We start from the raw sequence: 16,935 nt of genomic DNA, 5'->3' as shown, positions 1-16,935 counted from the left end.
TTGTAATTTAAATCTGTATTTTCTTTTTTTTAAAACAACTTCAACTTTAATTTTAGATTTAGAGGGTACATGTTGTTACATGGGTACCTTGTGTGATGCTAAGGTTTGGAGTGTGATTGATTCCATCACCCAGGTCTGAGCATAGTACTCAATAGTTAGTTGTTTTTTTTTTTTTTTGGAGACGGAGTCTCGCTGTATTGCCTAGGCTGGAGTGCAGTGGCTCAATCTCGGCTCACTGCAATCTCTGCCTCCCAGGTTCAAGCGATTCTCCTGCCTCAACCTCCAGAGTAGCTGGTATTACAGATGCCCGCCACCATGCCCAGCTAATTTTTGTATTTTTGGTAGAGACAGGGTTTCACTATGTTGGCCAAGCTGGTCTTGAACTCCTGACCTTGTGATCTGCCTGCCTTGGCTCCTCAAAGTGCTGGGATTACAGGTGAGCCACCGTGCCGGGCCCAATAGTTAGTTTTTCAACCCTTGCCCTTTGCCTCCCTCCCTACTCTAGTAGTCTCAGTGTCTATTGTTGCTATCTTTATGTCTATTAGTACCAATGCTTAGCTCTCACTTGTAAGTGAGAACATGTAGTATTTGGTTTTCTGTTCCTGAATTAATTCACTTAGCATAATCGCCTCCAGCTGCATCCATATTGCGGCAAAGGACACAATTTCATTCTTTTTTAGGGCTGTGTATATTTCATGGTGTATATGTACCTCGTTTTGTTTATCCAGTCCACCATTAATGGGCACCTAGGTTGATTCTATGTTTTGCTATTGTGAGTAGTGCTGTGATGAACATACACATGCATGTATCTTTTTGGTAGAATGAGTTATTTTCTTTTGGATATATATCTAGTAACGGGATTGCTGGGTTGAATGGTAGTTCTGTTTTAAATTCTTTGAGAAATCTCTAAACTGTTTTTCACAGTGGCTGAACTAATTTACATTCCCACTAACTGTGTATAAGCTTTCCCTTCAGTCTGCAGCCTCGCCAGCATCTGTTTTTTTTTTCCTAAACTTTTTAATAATAGTCATTCCGACTGGTTTGGGGTGGTATCTCATTGTGATTTTAATTAGCATTTCTCTGATGATTAGTGATGTTGGAGAATTTATTCATGTATTTGTTGGCTGCTTATATGTCTTCTTTTAAGTAGTGTCCATTCATGTCTTTTGCCCACTTTTTAATGTGATTATTTGTTTATTGCTTGTTCAACTGTTTAAGTTCCTTACAGATTCTGAATATTAGACATCGTTGGATAAATAGTTGCAAATATTTTCTCCCATTCTGTAGGTCGCCTGTTTACTCTGTTGATAGTTCTTTTTGCTGTACAGAAGCTCTTTAGTTTAGTTAGGCCCCACTTGTCAATTTTTGTTTTTGTTGCAATTGCTTTTGAAGACTTAGCCATAAATTTTTTGCCAAGGCCAATGTCCAGGATGGTATTTCCTAGGTTTTCTTCTAGTATTCTTACAGTTTGAGGTCTTACATTTAAGTCTTTAATTCATCTTGAGTTGATTTTTGTATATGATGAAAGGTAGGGGTCCAGTTTCATTCATCTGCATATGGCTAGCCAGCTATCCCAGCATCATTTATTGAATAGAAAACCCTTTCCCCATTTGATTATTTTTATCAATTTCGTCAAAGAGCAGATGGCTGTAGGTGTGTGGCTTTATTTCTGAGTTCTCTATTCTGTTCCATTGGTCTATGTATCTATTTCTGTACCAGTACCATGCTGTTTTGGTTGCTGTAGCCTTATAGTATAGTTTAAAGTCAGGTAATGTGATGCAGCAAGCTTACTCTATATGGGCATTAATAACATTCATGAGGGCTCCACCTTCATGAGCTAATCACCTCTCAAAGGTCCCACCTCCTAATACCATCACCTTGGGGATTAGGAACCCAACATATTAACTTTGAGAGGACATGAACATTTAGGCAATAGCAACTCTGAAAGAGATCTGAAGGAAAATTAACTAGTTCTAAATGTTATTAATTTGAATACAAATTTTACTGTATTTAGTAGACATTATTTGTGTTATGTGTTTGTTTGCGGCAGAAGGGTTAATAGCCATTTTTAGGTTCTTTTTGAAGTTGGATTATTTTCTCTTTTTATTTATTATTTATTGGTTTCATAGAGCTGAGTGGAGTAAGAATGTCTTAACTCTGATATCATTTACTGCACATTCTCGATGTCTTCATTTTTATCATCTTTGTCAGTTTTTATTTTGTAGAAGTTGAAATGTACATATTTTTAGCTTATTTATTCTTAATTATGGTTCTAGTTTGTCAATAGTTATATAATTATATCCCTATTTATAGTTTAGGTAAATGTACTATGTCACTGAGGCATATTGAGACATGTACAGATTTAGATCTGCTTCAAATTCCAAAACTTCTGTTAACTTGGTTTGTTTCTGTAAGCGAGTTAATTTAGCTCTCTAAATTACAGTTTCCTTATCTATTTCCCTTCCTGGTGAATTTTAGGAGATTAAATTAGATAGTTTTATGTAAAGAAAATAACATGTAATTTATCCTCTTTGAGTGTGTTCTGTCTTTCAGAATTTCTAGCGTTTATATCTTTCACTTGTTCATTAAAACCTATAGTATGAGGTATAGATCTGACTTGATTTTTTCTATATATTAAGATCTAATTTTTAGTGATAGTTATTAAATAAAATTTTTCTTTTTTGTTTGCTACTCTGCTTTATAACACATAATTTGTGATAATTGTCTACCTGTATTTAAAATTTTATATTAATTTTTAATTTTTATTTTGGTTTTAATGACTATTAAATATATTATTCATCTTAAAAATAGAATTCATTATCCTCACTTCACAAACCATAATGTTGTAAAAGGAAGGCTTTTAGGCTTTTGATAAAAGTGTTGGTTAAAGAAGACCAGCCAGAAGGCTTCCAGGATTTTTCTAAGGAGGACTGAGCTCCATTACTAATGAAGCCTATTAATTATGTCACTTGTCTTGAGTTTCCCCACTGCAAGGCTTATATTCCAGTTTTCCAGTCTCATGTTTATTTTTGTCTTTATACTGAAATCAGATTAGTTTTCTTGGTGATGAATTCTCAGTAGCCAAGTTTATATAAGATGATGTATAAGGCAAAATATTAATTTATCAATTTGCAGTGAGTAATAGCTCTTTTCATGGGCAATAACTTTGAAGTTCATATGCTCTCTGCAAAGAATGCCCTCTGCTTGCCATAGCAATCAAGGTAGCAGTCCAAAAATTATTCACTGGTCATGAACGGAGAGCAAAGATGAGTAGATATTTTGACATACCCTTCACCTAAGCTGTAGGAATATTTGATAAAATATTCTTTCTCCATGAGATAGAAAAATCACATTTATTCTCCCAGAGAACAACACTTGTTCTTGAGTTTAGCAGGTTCAGAATCTTTCCATGTGTTTGATTTCATCTATCAGGTGATCTTTTATATGTTGTTTTATTTATCAGTCTCACAGAGTTCTAGGAGTACATTTCTACTACCACTATGATTTTTTTTTATGTGAAGAAAGACATATTCTTGTTCCAATTTTAGAATCCCTTTTTTTGGACTTTATTTTTCAAATATTTGAAAAATATTTGGTAAAAAGCAAACTATTTTTTCTTTACCCTACAGCTCTAACTAAAAACTAGTGAAGTCTAAATTTTTACATAACTAATCTTTTCCTAAAATGCATGTAAGACAATTGGCCAAGACACATGTTACAATCTCACAAAACATAGCCATATTGTCATTCAGTTTAAACAGGTGCCATCACACCAATGAGCAATTTGGAAAAAGTAGTTCTGTTTGGAGTGGTGAGAATTTGATAAGCAATATGAAGTAATTGACGGTCTCAGTTCTTTTATAGACTGTCAATGCAAGGATGGCTTTTAGAACCATGTGAGTATAAATGGACTGCATTTATTCATGTGCTCAACAAGTTATCTGTTTGTTGCTGTGCTGACCTCTGTGCATCACACATTAATTCAACATTTGTTATTTAATTATTTGCATACCCAACTAATGGCAATATAACGTTTTTGTTGTGCCTTTTTTTTTTTTTTTTTTTGAGACGGAGTTTTGCCCTTATCGCCTAGGCCGGAGTGCAATGGCGTGATCTCAGTTCACTGCAACCTCTGCCTCCTGGGTTCAAGCGATTCTCCTGCCTCAGCCTCCCAAGTAGCTGGGACTACAGGCGCCTGCCACCACACCCGGCTAATTTTTGTGTTTTTAGTAGCGACGGGGTTTCACCACGTTAGCCAGGCTGGTCTCGAATTCCTAACCTCAAGTGATCTGCCTGCCTCAGCCTCCCAAAGTGCTGGGATTACAGGTGTGAGCCACCGCACCTGGCCTGTTACACCTTTTAAAATAAGCTAGGTGCGAGAACATCTCTCAGAGACTGGGTAGATTGGTATGATGTTATTAGTAACAACTTATTAAAATGTTGGGGTTATGTTTACAAAAAAGTGATAACTTTAATGAACTCACAGCCTTTCCTTCTGGCAGCAAATAGATATTAAAACCAATTATTTGGCAGGGCGTGGTGGCTCATGCCTGTAATTCCGGCATTTTAGGAGGCCGAGGCTGGTGGAGCACGAGGTCAGGAGATTGAGACCATACTGGCTAACAGGGTGAAACCCCGTCTCTACTAAAAAAAAAAAAAAAAAATTAACTGGGCGTAGTGGCGGGTGCCTGTAGTCCCAGCTACTCGGGAGGCTGAGGCAGGAGAATGGCATGAACCGAGTAGGCGGAGCTTGCAGTGAGCAGAGATCGCACCACTGCACTCCAGCCTGGGCCACAGAGCAAGACTTCATCTCAAAAAAAAAAAAAAAAAAAAAAAAAAACCACCAATTTTTCAGGCCATACCTAAGTTGTAATGGTAAAGCCAAGTCATGTATTATAGAAAAATGGTTATATGTGTAACCATGTATGGGAGGCAAGCATCTAATTAACATAAATGATATAAAACCATGAAGGCACAAGTTAATGACATGGGGGACCTGAAGACTTTTCTATTTCACGCCACTGGGTTTTGTTACCTAATCTATCAATATGGTAGCATCTGACCCATTCTTATTTACAGGGAAATGTTCAAGAAAGGCCTGTCATGTCAGCAAATTCTGAGGTTTCTCATGTCATCTATTACCAGAGTGCTGCAATATCCCAATAGCTGTAACAGACCTTGACAAAGCTTTCTCCATATTTTTCTCCTATCATTTCAGTGCCCACGCACCCAAAGGGCCAGCTCCTGCATTTTTTCACTTCACCGATGCCAAAGCCACTTTGCCCACCTTTGCAGCAGACGCAGGGAATTAACTATCTCAAGAAGTGGCCCTTAGTTATTAACTGATGGCAGCTGGTATGTATAAATACACTATCTCCCTTATTTCTCCGATGGCTTAACCGCAGGGCATGTACTACACTGGCTCCCAGTGTTTTCCCCAGGAGGACTAAGCTTCTATTGCCCATGGTTTTAATTGGCTTGATAGGTACAATTTATTGGTAGATTTCCCTTGCATGTTGCATCTCCCTGTTATCTACCAGTGGTTCCTCTACCTCCTTCCAAAATTGCTCTCTAATCCTGTCTCAGAGTTTGCATTTGGATGAGCCCAATATAAGGCAGTGGTCAAAACAAGCTGAGAATCACATGTCTATAATTTATTAAGCTGAAACTGGCATATACTTTGAGACAGACAGTTAATAAACTGAATGGATCAAAACATTTTTCTTTGAAAAAATGTGACAAATCATATTCTGGGTCCAACCAGATACAAACTTTGGTACGAATCAGAGCCTGATATTCTGAGTAGTTTTGAGAAAGTTCTGGAGGCAGAAATTCTTCCTCCTAGGTTTTATGTAAGAGCTGAAGAAAGAAGAGATATGACTGAGAAACAGGCACAGACTGGGATACACCAAGTTGCTCAGCTTTCTTTATAAAACTAGGAAAAGCAAGTCTCTCAGGGTCAGCCGGAATTTGTCTTATATGAACTCAATAGCCAAGTAGATGACTAGAAACTGGCATCATTTCTAAACTTTTTGACCAACCTAACATTCTCCATTTGTACTTACTATGTTTGAGTTTTTTCAAGGCAATTCATGGTGAGATTTAAATTTAATCTGTTGCTCAGTGAACTTTTTTCCTTTTTTTTTTTTTTTTTCTGTATGGTACTTTATTGATCTGTCCAGGGCTTTTGTTTTGTTTTTGTCACTTGTTTTGCTACCTGCTATGGTTGTATCACTCACTCACTTGGATTATTGCAGTAGCTCTTTAACATATCTTCTTGATTCTGTGACTTCCTTCCTAAAGTGTCACCACTGTAGGTAGAATGTTCTTTTAAAAATACAAATCTAGGCTGGGCACAGTGACTCATGCCTATAATCTCAGCAATTTGGGAGGGCAAAGCAGGAGGATTGCTTGATCCCAGGAGTTCGAAACTAGCCTGGACAACATTACAAAACTGTGTCTCTACCAAAAATACAAAAATTAGGAGGAGATGGTGGCTCATGTCTGTAGTCCCAGTTACTCTGGAGGCTGAGGTGGAAGGATCTCTTGAGCTCAGGATGTTGAGCTGCAGCGAGTCATGATCATGCTACTGCACTCCAGCCTGGATGACAGATCAAGAGCCCATCTCAAAACAAACAAACAACCCCAAACCTCAACAAAGCACTCCTCAGCCCCAACTCTCAAGTAGCTCTCCATTACATTCAGAATAAGTCTGTTAGAATGGCCTGCAAGGCCAAACTCAATCTCAACCCTTTCCTCTGGGATCCTACCTCCTGCTGCTTTCCTTCTTTTAATCTCTCCACACACAGAGATCTTGCTCTTCCATGAATATCCCTCTGTCTGAAATGTCCTGTATCCAGATAGCCACATGGCTTGCTCCTTAATGTTCTTCAAATCTCTGTTCAAATATTACTTTCTAATAGAACCTTGCCTCAATTACCCTATATAAAAGTGCATCCCTCATGCCCTGCAATCCCTTTCCTGAATTATCCTGCTTTATTTTTCCCTTGATCATTTACTGTCATCTAACATATCATATATTTACTTGTTTGTTCTTTATTGTCAGACTTCCCCCATCTCCATTCTATCTTGATCATAAACTCCACGAGGAGAAGGACTTTATCTTTCACTGTCATGTCACCACTGCTTGGTATAACTATTTGGAATTCAATAAATATCCATAGAGTAAATGAATGAATACGTGAAAACATTGACGAAGGAAAGAATATATGAGGAAATAGTATTTAAATTGCTACTGAAGGAGGAAAGGATGCTGCCATATAAAAGTGAGGAGGACTCATGCAGAGTGAATACCATTTGCAAAAGCCAAAACGTTTCCTTAATTCATTTCTTTTCAACTTTTCCATTACAACAATCATAGTGCAAATTACTGTCATCCACTGTGGACCAGTACTACATCAGGCAGCTCCCTGCAGGCTTTTCTGGGACATTCACTGGAAATCCATTGAAATTTTTAAAATAGGGGGTTGACTCAACCTAATTAATATTTTAAAAGGTCACCTAGGTTCATCTATAGAAAATTATTTGAAGAAGGCTGATGTGGAAGCAGAGAGACTACCTAGGAGGCAGTTGCCCGTAGGATGGTGACAGATAAGGATTAAAACTATTAAATGGTTTGGCTCTGTGTCCCCACCCAAATCTCATCTTGGATTATAATCCCCATGTGTCAAGGGAGGGAAGTGATTTGATCATGGGGGTGGTTTCCCCCATGCTGTTCTCATGATAGTGAGTGAGTTCTCATGACATCTGATGGTTTTATTAGCATCTGGCATTTCCCTTGCTTATGCTTCTCTCTCCTGCTGGCATGTGAAGAAGGTTCTTGCTTTCCCTTCGCCTTCCAGCATGATTGTAAGTTTCCTGAGGCCTCCCCAGCCATGCAGAAGTGTGAGTCAATTAAACCTCTTTCCTTTCAAAATTACCCAGTCTCAGGTAGTATCTTTATAGCAGTGTGATAATGGACTAATACAAACTATTAAATGGCTTACTATATATTTTGGTTATAAAATAAACAGAACTTCCGAATGGATAAAATTTCGGTAGTGAGAGAAAGAATGAGATGAAGGAGTACTTAGTTTCTGGTTTGAGTAATGGGTAGACAGGGTAATAATGATTGGAATGGGGAAACTCTGGAGGTAAAATTATAAGTTTAATTTTGAACATTTAAAAAGGGGTACTGATGAGGTCTCACAGAGTCAGTGTAAATTGTTAAGAGAAGAGGGCTTGGGATCAAACTTTGGATTGGATAAATGAGGAACAAGGGAAATAGAATGAGCGAGACTGGCTGATGAAATACAAGGGATATCAGGAGAGAATGGTGTTACACAAGCCAAGACACAAGAGTGTTTCAAGGAAGAGAGAAGGGTTACTTTTTAGATATTTTTCCCAGAGGTTAAGAAAGAGGGAAAAGAGAAAAGTAGGCCTTGTTCTTGCAATGCATAGATCTTAGACAAGCTTGGTAAGGACCATTATGATAATCTGATGGGAGGACTTTGAAGTCTGATGGGACATGGAAAAGAAAAGACAGCATGTGTACGTGAACCTCAAGAAGCTTGATGAAACAAGCAAACAAATGAGGCATTAGCTACAAGGAGGGGTGCAGATGAAAATTTTCTAGGGAGAGGAAGGAAAGGGAAGGAAGAGAGGAGAGAGAGATAGTAGAGGAGACAGGAAGAGAATGAGAGAGAGGAGATAAAATGAGAGAGTGGAGAGAGAAAAAAGACAGGAGAAAGAGAGAGGAAAGAGAGAGAGAAGATAAAAAGAGAGAAGAGAGAGAGAAGGAGAGGAAACAGAAAGAGAGAGAGAGAGGAAAAAGAATAGGAAAGAGACTATTAGGGAAGGAGCAAAGTCCTTGATTTGAGCAGAACTGGAGGACTGTGTTTTTGTATGAGTAGGCCACAAATGCATGGAATAAGCCCATGGGAGGGAGGAGAAGATGGGTGCAAGTACAGGTGGATATGGAGGTTTCGCAGAGGAAGTTGAATGCATTTGAAATGGATGACTTTTGAACAACAGGATTAGATCATCAACAAAGAATGAGAAGGGAAGAGGGTGTGTGGGAGGTTTGAGGACAGAGAAGATGCAGAGTAGCAATCTAGTATGATGAGATGGGACATCTATAAGAGAAGCAGATAGAATTTCAGGGAAGTATCTGATGTTATGCTGAGATTTGAGACTGAGTGATTAATATTTAAAAAGTCAGCTCACTTGGATAATTTGTTTGGCTGTTTGTGTGCAGACAGAGATGGAGGGCAAAAGGTCTGGGGTGAGGGAGAGAGAGCAGGGCAAGTAGGTTGAAGGCATTCACAAAGAGGTGACTCTAGTTGGACTCATGAAGCTAGATTAGACAGAGAGTTGAAGCTGACAGTGAGAAAGTGGTGGGAGTCAACACATTGAAGCTTTGATGAAATGGAGTAATGACAACAATGTGAGCCCATGAGCTGGAAGGATGAGAAGGAAATGGTCAGAGGCTGTAGAGACAGAAACTGAGGCATTCCAGGTACCAATATGCCAGGTTATGAAAAGAAATGACAGCTGAGTGGAGGGGGGAAATGGAGGTCTAGAAATGAGAATCTGGGCCTTGGGTGATTCATCCACGTGGATGTTTAAGTTACTATGAACACTCTCAGAAGTTAAGAAAGTCACAAAAGACTTTAGGCCAGGATATTGGAGCCTTCATTAAAAGTAGAGACATTATGAAGAAGAGAAGAGAGGGAAAGGATCATACAAGTCTGAAAGAGGTAAGATTTTGTGCAAGATGAAGTTGATAATAGTCTGGAAGTGGCATTGGAGAACAAAAGGAGATGCATCCCAGTAAAGATGAAAGGGTATGATTTAAAGGGCAAAAAAGAAGAAAAGTCATTTTAAAAGAAATAAAATGCTGGTGTAGGCAAAAATAAAAATGCAGAGTATGAAAGAAAGAAAGGTAAAAGTATAAAGATGCTACAAGTATTAAATAAGAACTAAAAATGCAGCTTTTTATCATCTGTTCATTTGTGGGGCTAACCACCTGGTCAAGGCTGGGCTCTAGCATCTATAATTAGTGGTCCAGAGAGTAGGTTCCTCAGTACACATTAAAAAAAGATAGCTAGGAAATGGAGAATGAAAACATATTTTAACATTGTGAAAATAAAAGAATTGTATCTCCTCCAATACAGGATGATAATAACTAGATTTGATAACTTTGGTTTTACAGTCTAAAACCTCCCCCTTGCTTACAATTCAGAAAAGATAAGGGAGGCATATTAATAATTTTATTGCTGTATGCATAACTCTTTGGAAATTACAAATCAACTTAAAAAAACGAACAGATAACCAAGCAAGAAACTAGCACCCAAATAATCCAAAAACTTTTATATTGAAACTTGAATAAGAGAACCTTGTGTTAAACACCACCAGAGATGAATATTAGAATTTTAAAATGCTTGTAAAACGACAGCAAAAGAAAAATAAGTTAGACTAGGTACAGTTTGACGATAAAGCATTTAGTAATTCAAATACAGCTAAACTGGGGAGAGAATGTAGACAAACAAGATTACACATTGTTTTAAAATTATCTGATGGAAAACAGGTTGATCTAGTCAAGATTTGTCCTAACATAAATTGAATAATCCGGAAGTGGAAGACAGATTTGATTTCAAGGAGAGTAGCACTCTACTGTGGACTGCTGTATCCTAGTGCAATGTGAAATGGGTCTTAAAAATCCAGAAATTGTAAAAAAAAAAGTTGGAATTTATGAAATAGGCATGGGAAAATGTGGCAAATACTTTTAAAAGTTTGCTTTGGGTCTTAAATGTCTTTCCAAAATAGTCATGGCCATTTATGCTAAAGATTATAATGCCTTTCAACTCCAGCAAAAGTTAAAGGGTGTCATATATTTTGTACCATGACAATCAAACATTGGTATAAATTCAGAAATAAATTGCCAGATAACTAAAAACATCTACTTACTAGAGTAAAAAATGTAATTTTTGAAGACATATAATTAAAATTTTGTCAGAACATTTTCTTGAATAAAAATTATGATGCTAAAAACTTTATACACAAATGTAGAACAGATGTCTAGATGAAGATATATAAATAACCCTAAATATGTACTTTTTCTTTTAATTTTTCAGTGCAAATGCAATTACATCAGACAACATGCTTAGAAGTAAATAATATGTAGCAGATATATCTGTAATTCAGTGTCAAAATTAGCTTGAGATGGTATTTTGGTTGATATTAAATGGTAAAGTATTTATAATACACTGATTTTTGCTCCTAAAGATTACCTCTTTAGACAGTCAGATAGATATTTTATAAACATTGTGGTTTGTTTTCAAACCATACATACATAGTATTAAATTACTATTTCTTTTTCCTTTTGTTAAGAGCAAGTTGATCTGAAACTCAGCTTGAATCCTAATTATAGTATTCACTTATAAAATAATTTCCATATCTCTTCTTGGTCTATGACATGATGTATATGATCTAGAGTAAACATCTAAGAAGAAGAATGAAGTTCTGCCCAAAACTTCTTCATTGAAAAATGACATGCCTTTAAATAACTACTAAAATCGTTGATGTCTTGAAAAGGGAATTTTAAAATTTAGGACTAAATGGAAAATCAGTGTGCAATCCTGGAAGAAAAAATTAGTTGGAAAGTATCTTCCCAGAAAGATAGGTGACTAATACTTCAGTTTTTCTTGTTTTTCCCATCAATTTGCAATCCTGGAAGAAAAGTTTGGTTAGAAAGTATCTTCCTAGAAAGATAGATGACTCAATGACTCAAATGGCCATGTTTTTTCTTGTTTTTCCCATCGTTTAACAGTGTTTAGGAGTTCAGATGTAACTAAATTGGGGGGATCTTAACAACCAATGGATTTTGACAGCAACAGTTATTAAAGACAGTGATTTTGTTGTTTGCAAGACAACCTAAAAAATATCTCTGGAAGATATCAGATGTCTTAAGAAAAGCTTGTGATGATATTTCATATCAAAACAGTAAGCAAGTTTCCTGTGGTCAGCTACCATTCCCTTTAATAAATTACTTAATTAATTCATTAATACTTATTTCTATTCCTTAAAACTCCTGGACCCAGGCATACTCAAGTATGTCTTAATAAATACCTTTTGACTTTATTCCTGGAAAGATTACCCATCCTTAATGTGGCCCCCTAAGTGTCAGAAAAAGAAAAGACTCCCTTTGAATGACTTTATTTATACTTCTGCATTTAGCATACTACAGACTATCAAAATTTTACATATTCTACAGAGTTAAAAGAAGATGTATACTGTGGCTTTTAAAATATTAGCCTTATCTGTTGTTACAGAGCAAAATAGCTCTAGGTTCAGTAATTCACTCCTATCCTCTTTTGACCAGTGGAGGAAGTTGAATATTCTTTGGCTTTGTAATTTCCTGGGAAATTTGAGTAATTGGGGTAAATTCTTTAAAAGTTGTATATAATTCACAACTCCAGGGCAAATTTTTTTCTAATTTTATTTTGTCATATAGAGTTTCATTTTAGTGAGCTTATAGTAACATTGTATTTAAGAAAGAAAAAATTTCTGTACCATGCAATAGTAAATTTACCTTTTTCTTAGAATGCTTTAATTCTTTTTAGAGATTTTTAATTGGGTAATACTACATAGCAAACACACAGAAATGATATATCATAAATAGGACATTACTAAATTTTGAAACTAGAAAAATATGTTATACTATATAATTTGGACACTACCTATAAATCAGCATATATAAGCCAAGATCTTATTGACAAATCAAATCAGGAATTTAAAATTTATGCTAGTGAGAAAAATTAGAGGGTGAGATAAACTAGCAGAATAGGTTTCTATTATTATTTCATGCTTATCAACACCATATTGTCAATTCTGCTAAAGGTTCCTGGTTGATTCCTGCAAAATGGCAGCAGAGGTTTGCTAAAGCAACCACTACTTTACTTACTAAAAGCGAATAATTAGCATGGTATTACTTTACAGAAGAATTCTTTTCCAACTTTCACCATTAAACATTTTACATGTTCTAAAAACATTTTTTTAGATCCCCTTAAAAAAAAATTCCCCAAAGCTTAAGCATACTACAAGCTGCTGCTTCTTTTTTTTTTGTCCACAGCTCGGCCTATGTAAATCATTTTAACTTCAGAGCTATGTAATAAAGAGCTGGATACGAATGAATATCACCTACTAAAAACAAAACCTGAAAACACAATTCAGTTCCCATCTGCTTACTTGGAAGGTCATTTGCCACTAGTGATGACAACCATGTCAGGCCTCACTTGCTTCAATTCGAGAAGTAAACTTAGTGAGTTTTGCTTTCTTAAGTCAAAACCACAGTGGTAAAGGGAAAGACGAGTGTGATATTCCTCAACCTCACCAGTAAGCAATATTCGTCAAGACTACATCTATCACTAAACACACACTAGAATCAGAAGAATCCTTGACTCCACAGGAGATTTAACTGAGGCCCCACATTAAGGTTCAGGCTCAGGCATTGCTAGTTTACCCTGAAGAAACCTCATCCTATTGCCACTCTCTAATGGAATTTTCCTCCTAGGAAACACTTCCTAATTTGGAATTTATTTTCTCTAGTGCAATAATTAAGGTAGGAGTGCTTGATGGCTTGTGGACTTGACTATGTAGTCAAACTTAAAAAAAATGGTTAACCCTTGTATAAATCTGTGGTTGAATTTTTATTTATGTTATCTGTGAAACCAACAGGGCATCTGGCACACATTTTAGATTTTTCCCATAGATATGAACATATATTGCATATTTAGTTCTTTTTGAATTTTGCTCGAGCTATATGGAAAAGCAAAACAGAGCAAGGAGAATGATGCCAATTGCCATCGTAAGGCCAGTTACATGCTGGAGATGGACTACAGGCCACTCAGGCACAAAGAAGACTCTGCCTCAAGTTTTAGTTCCTTAGTCCTAATATAAGAGAAAAGTTTATGAATGCTAAGGAGAGCTCTCCCCTAGCAGTGGTGTTTCCATTTATTTTTCTCATTGTGATTTCTCACCTTGCTCCTAGATGACCTGAGCACGAAGTTGTGCGTTATAAATCACATTGTTGGTTTTTTAGTGGTGGGAATTGGATCTAAACCACAATGACTATGAAAAAGTGAGCTGGGGTCCTGACTACTTGCTATATTGCACGGTACTATACTTTGTGATTCGACTTCGAGCTGTGCTAGGGGAGGCGGACCCAATGGTTTGGTTAAAGTGATGGTCAGAGGAACTCCTCATGTGGCCAATGCTGGCTGTCCCTCCCAAGCTGCTCAGGCCAATGCCACCACCACTTATGCCAGCTCCACTCAGGGCACCGCTCCCAGCACCCATGCTGGTGCCAACCAGGCCACTGCTGCCTATGCCACCGCTGATCCCAGTGGTGCCACTAATTCCAGTTACGCCAGCACCAGAAACAACCCTCTCTGTCACAATGACATTGTGGGCATTGGCTAACTCGGGGTGCATACTCAGACTACCTATCATGCCGGAAGTTGGTTGGATTACTCTTTCTGTCACTACCACATTTGAAGACTCTCTAGGATGATGGATAGTCAGAGAGGTGGGTAGACTAGAGCTTGGTGCTATTACCCTTTCTGTCACTATAACATTCGACCCATCTCGCAAGTCAGGCATCTCTAACATTCCATGCAAATCAGCGCCAGAGATTGGGCCGACCACTCTCTCTGTCACTACCACGTTTGATGCTGGTCGGTTATCGTGAACGTGCACAGAGGGCTTCAGAGTGTCAGAGGTGGTGTAAGACTCGGTCACAGTGACATTACCATAGCCCAGAGGATCGAGAATAGGCTTAGGATGCAGTACACCAGGTCCCGAGGGATAGGTGCTCTCAGAAATTACTGTGGTAGTGCCGAAATGTGGGGAGATTGGTGGGTGTCCACTAACAACGGGCTCTGTTTCCTGAGGAAGGCAAACTGGTTCAGTGCTTTGTGGTGGCCAAGAAGGATCAAGGTCTGGATATGATTCTTTTCCTAGGCTGATGTCTGCCAACTTCTTAAATTTAGGTCCCAGGGTATCCAAGAAGCTGTCATCCAGGTCTTCTCCAATGAAGCTACAACAACCCACAGAGCCAGCAGGGGAACCTACACCTTCGATGTCATATATGAGCAAACAGTCATTAGATGGGCGTCCTTCATCTTCATCTGCGTAAGCATATGCTTTCTGAATTTATAGGAGAAAGAGAAAATGAAATTATGAATGCATATTTAACAATAATAGAACAGCCTTTATCATTAGTTTTTCTTCCAGAGCATTTCCAAAGAGGAATGAAATAAAACAAGATTTTAACATACTAGAGATGCTCTAAAAATCATTTTATAATTATTTGAAATAATTTGGTTAGAAATCATTTTAAGTATAATTCTAATACTATGATTTTAAAAATTTACTTAGATGGACTTATTTATAATTGTGTACTTTGGACATAAAACCATACACAAAAAAATCACATGAATTGGTTTCGAGGAGGAGCCAAGATGGCCGAATAGGAACAGCTCTGGTCTACAGCTCCCAGCGTGAGCGACGCAGAAGACGGGTGATTTCTGCATTTCCATCTGAGGTACCGGGTTCATCTCACTAGGGAGTGCCAGACAGTGGGTGCAGGTCAGTGGGTGCGTCCACTGTGCGCGAGCCGAAGCAGGGCGAGGCATTGCCTCACTTGGGAAGCGCAAGGGGTCAGGGAGTTCCCTTTCTGAGTCAAAGAAAGGGGTGACGGACGGCACCTGGAAAATCGGGTCACTCCCACCCGAATACTGCGCTTTTCCGACGGGCTTAAAAAACGGCGCACCACGAGATTATATCCTGCACCTGGCTCGGAGGGTCCTACGCCCACGGAGTCTCGCTGATTGCTAGCACAGCAGTCTGAGATCAAACTGCAAAGCGGCAGTGAGGCTGGGGGAGGGGCGCCCGCCATTGCCCAGGCTTGATTAGGTAAACAAAGCAGACAGGAAGCTCGAACTGGGTGGAGCCCACCACAGCTCAAGGAGGCCTGCCTGCCTCTGTAGGCTCCACCTCTGGGGGCAGGGCACAGACAAACAAAAAGACAGCAGTAACCTCTGCAGACTTAAATGTCCCTGTCTGACAGCTTTGAAGAGAGCAGTGGTTCTCCCAGCACGCAGCTGGAGAACTGAGAACGGGCAGACTGCCTCCTCAAGTGGGTCCCTGACCCCTGACCCCCGAGCAGCCTAACTGGGAGGCACCCCCCAGCAGGGGCACACTGACACCTCACACGGCAGGGTACTCCAACAGACCTGCAGCTGAGGGTCCTCTCTGTTAGAAGGAAAACTAACAAACAGAAAGGACATCCACACCAAAAACCCATCTGTACATCACCATCATCAAAGACCAAAAGTAGATAAAACCACAAAGATGGGGAAAAAACAGAACAGAAAAACTGGAAACTCTAAAAAGCAGAGCACCTCTCCTCCTCCAAAGGAACGCAGTTCCTCACCAGCAACGGAACAAAGCTGGATGGAGAATGACTTTGACAAGCTGAGAGAAGAAGGCTTCAGACGATCAAATTACTCTGAGCTATGGGAGGACATTCAAACCAAAGGCAAAGAAGTTGAAAACTTTGAAAAAAATTTAGAAGAATGTATAACAAGAATAACCAATACAGAGAAGTGCTTAAAGGAGCTGATGGAGCTGAAAACCAAGGCTCGAGAACTACGTGAAGAATGCAGAAGCCTCAGGAGCTGATGTGATCAACCGGAAGAAAGGGTATCAGCAATGGAAGATGAAATGAATGAAATGAAGCGAGAAGGGAAGTTTAGAGAAAAAAGAATAAAAAGAAATGAGCAAAGCCTCCAAGAAATATGGGACTATGTGAAAAGACCAAATCTACGTCTGATTGGTGTACCTAAAAGTGATGGGGAGAATGGAACCAAGTTG

At 38.5% G+C, this 16,935-nt stretch overlaps 1 protein-coding gene and 1 long non-coding RNA gene across 3 annotated transcripts in view, besides 4 other annotated features; one reads left to right on the top strand and one right to left on the bottom strand.

Annotated features, from left to right (window-relative positions):
• DSG1-AS1 (DSG1 antisense RNA 1) overlaps nucleotides 1–16,935 on the top strand; it is an 83,621-nt gene that overhangs the window by 57,485 nt on the left and 9,201 nt on the right. The window contains exon 2 of one of the 2 annotated variants that reach the window (NR_110788.1): nucleotides 15,051–15,192. This is a non-coding gene — a long non-coding RNA (DSG1 antisense RNA 1). Of the gene's footprint in view, nucleotides 1–15,050; nucleotides 15,193–15,567; nucleotides 15,605–16,935 lie in introns of those variants that run through there. The other variant, NR_110789.1, reaches the window with a different exon arrangement.
• Nucleotides 10,258–16,935, bottom strand: part of DSG1 (desmoglein 1) — a 41,087-nt gene continuing 34,409 nt past the window's right edge. The window contains exon 15 of the mRNA NM_001942.4: nucleotides 10,258–15,207. Within this exon, the coding sequence (NP_001933.2) occupies nucleotides 14,158–15,207 (1,050 nt within the window). The 3' untranslated portion in view covers nucleotides 10,258–14,157. The remainder of the gene's footprint in view (nucleotides 15,208–16,935) is intronic.
• Nucleotides 14,655–15,854: an enhancer, noted in NCBI's record as "MED14-independent group 3 enhancer chr18:28933613-28934812 (GRCh37/hg19 assembly coordinates)". NCBI's record gives its function as "activates an origin of replication core promoter dependent on BRD2, BRD4, P300/CBP and CDK7 cofactors, and independent of MED14, by STARR-seq in HCT116 cells {active_cell/tissue: HCT116}" and the evidence as "EXISTENCE:reporter gene assay evidence [ECO:0000049][PMID:35650434]".
• Nucleotides 14,655–16,422: a biological region, named in NCBI's record as "MED14-independent group 3 enhancer GRCh37_chr18:28933613-28934812".
• Nucleotides 15,186–15,803: an enhancer, noted in NCBI's record as "NANOG-H3K27ac-H3K4me1 hESC enhancer chr18:28933664-28934281 (GRCh37/hg19 assembly coordinates)". NCBI's record gives its function as "activates a minimal SCP1, AML or CMV promoter by ChIP-STARR-seq in primed H9 embryonic stem cells {active_cell/tissue: H9 hESC(primed)}" and the evidence as "EXISTENCE:reporter gene assay evidence [ECO:0000049][PMID:30033119]".
• Nucleotides 15,804–16,422: an enhancer, noted in NCBI's record as "NANOG-H3K27ac-H3K4me1 hESC enhancer chr18:28933045-28933663 (GRCh37/hg19 assembly coordinates)". NCBI's record gives its function as "activates a minimal SCP1, AML or CMV promoter by ChIP-STARR-seq in naive and primed H9 embryonic stem cells {active_cell/tissue: H9 hESC(naive and primed)}" and the evidence as "EXISTENCE:reporter gene assay evidence [ECO:0000049][PMID:30033119]".

The sequence above is a fragment of the Homo sapiens genome, chromosome 18 (assembly GCF_000001405.40).
Source record: "Homo sapiens chromosome 18, GRCh38.p14 Primary Assembly".
Taxonomy (NCBI): Eukaryota; Metazoa; Chordata; class Mammalia; order Primates; family Hominidae; genus Homo; species Homo sapiens.
Note: the sequence above shows the minus strand (reverse complement) of the source record. Positions and strands in the feature narration are given on the sequence as shown.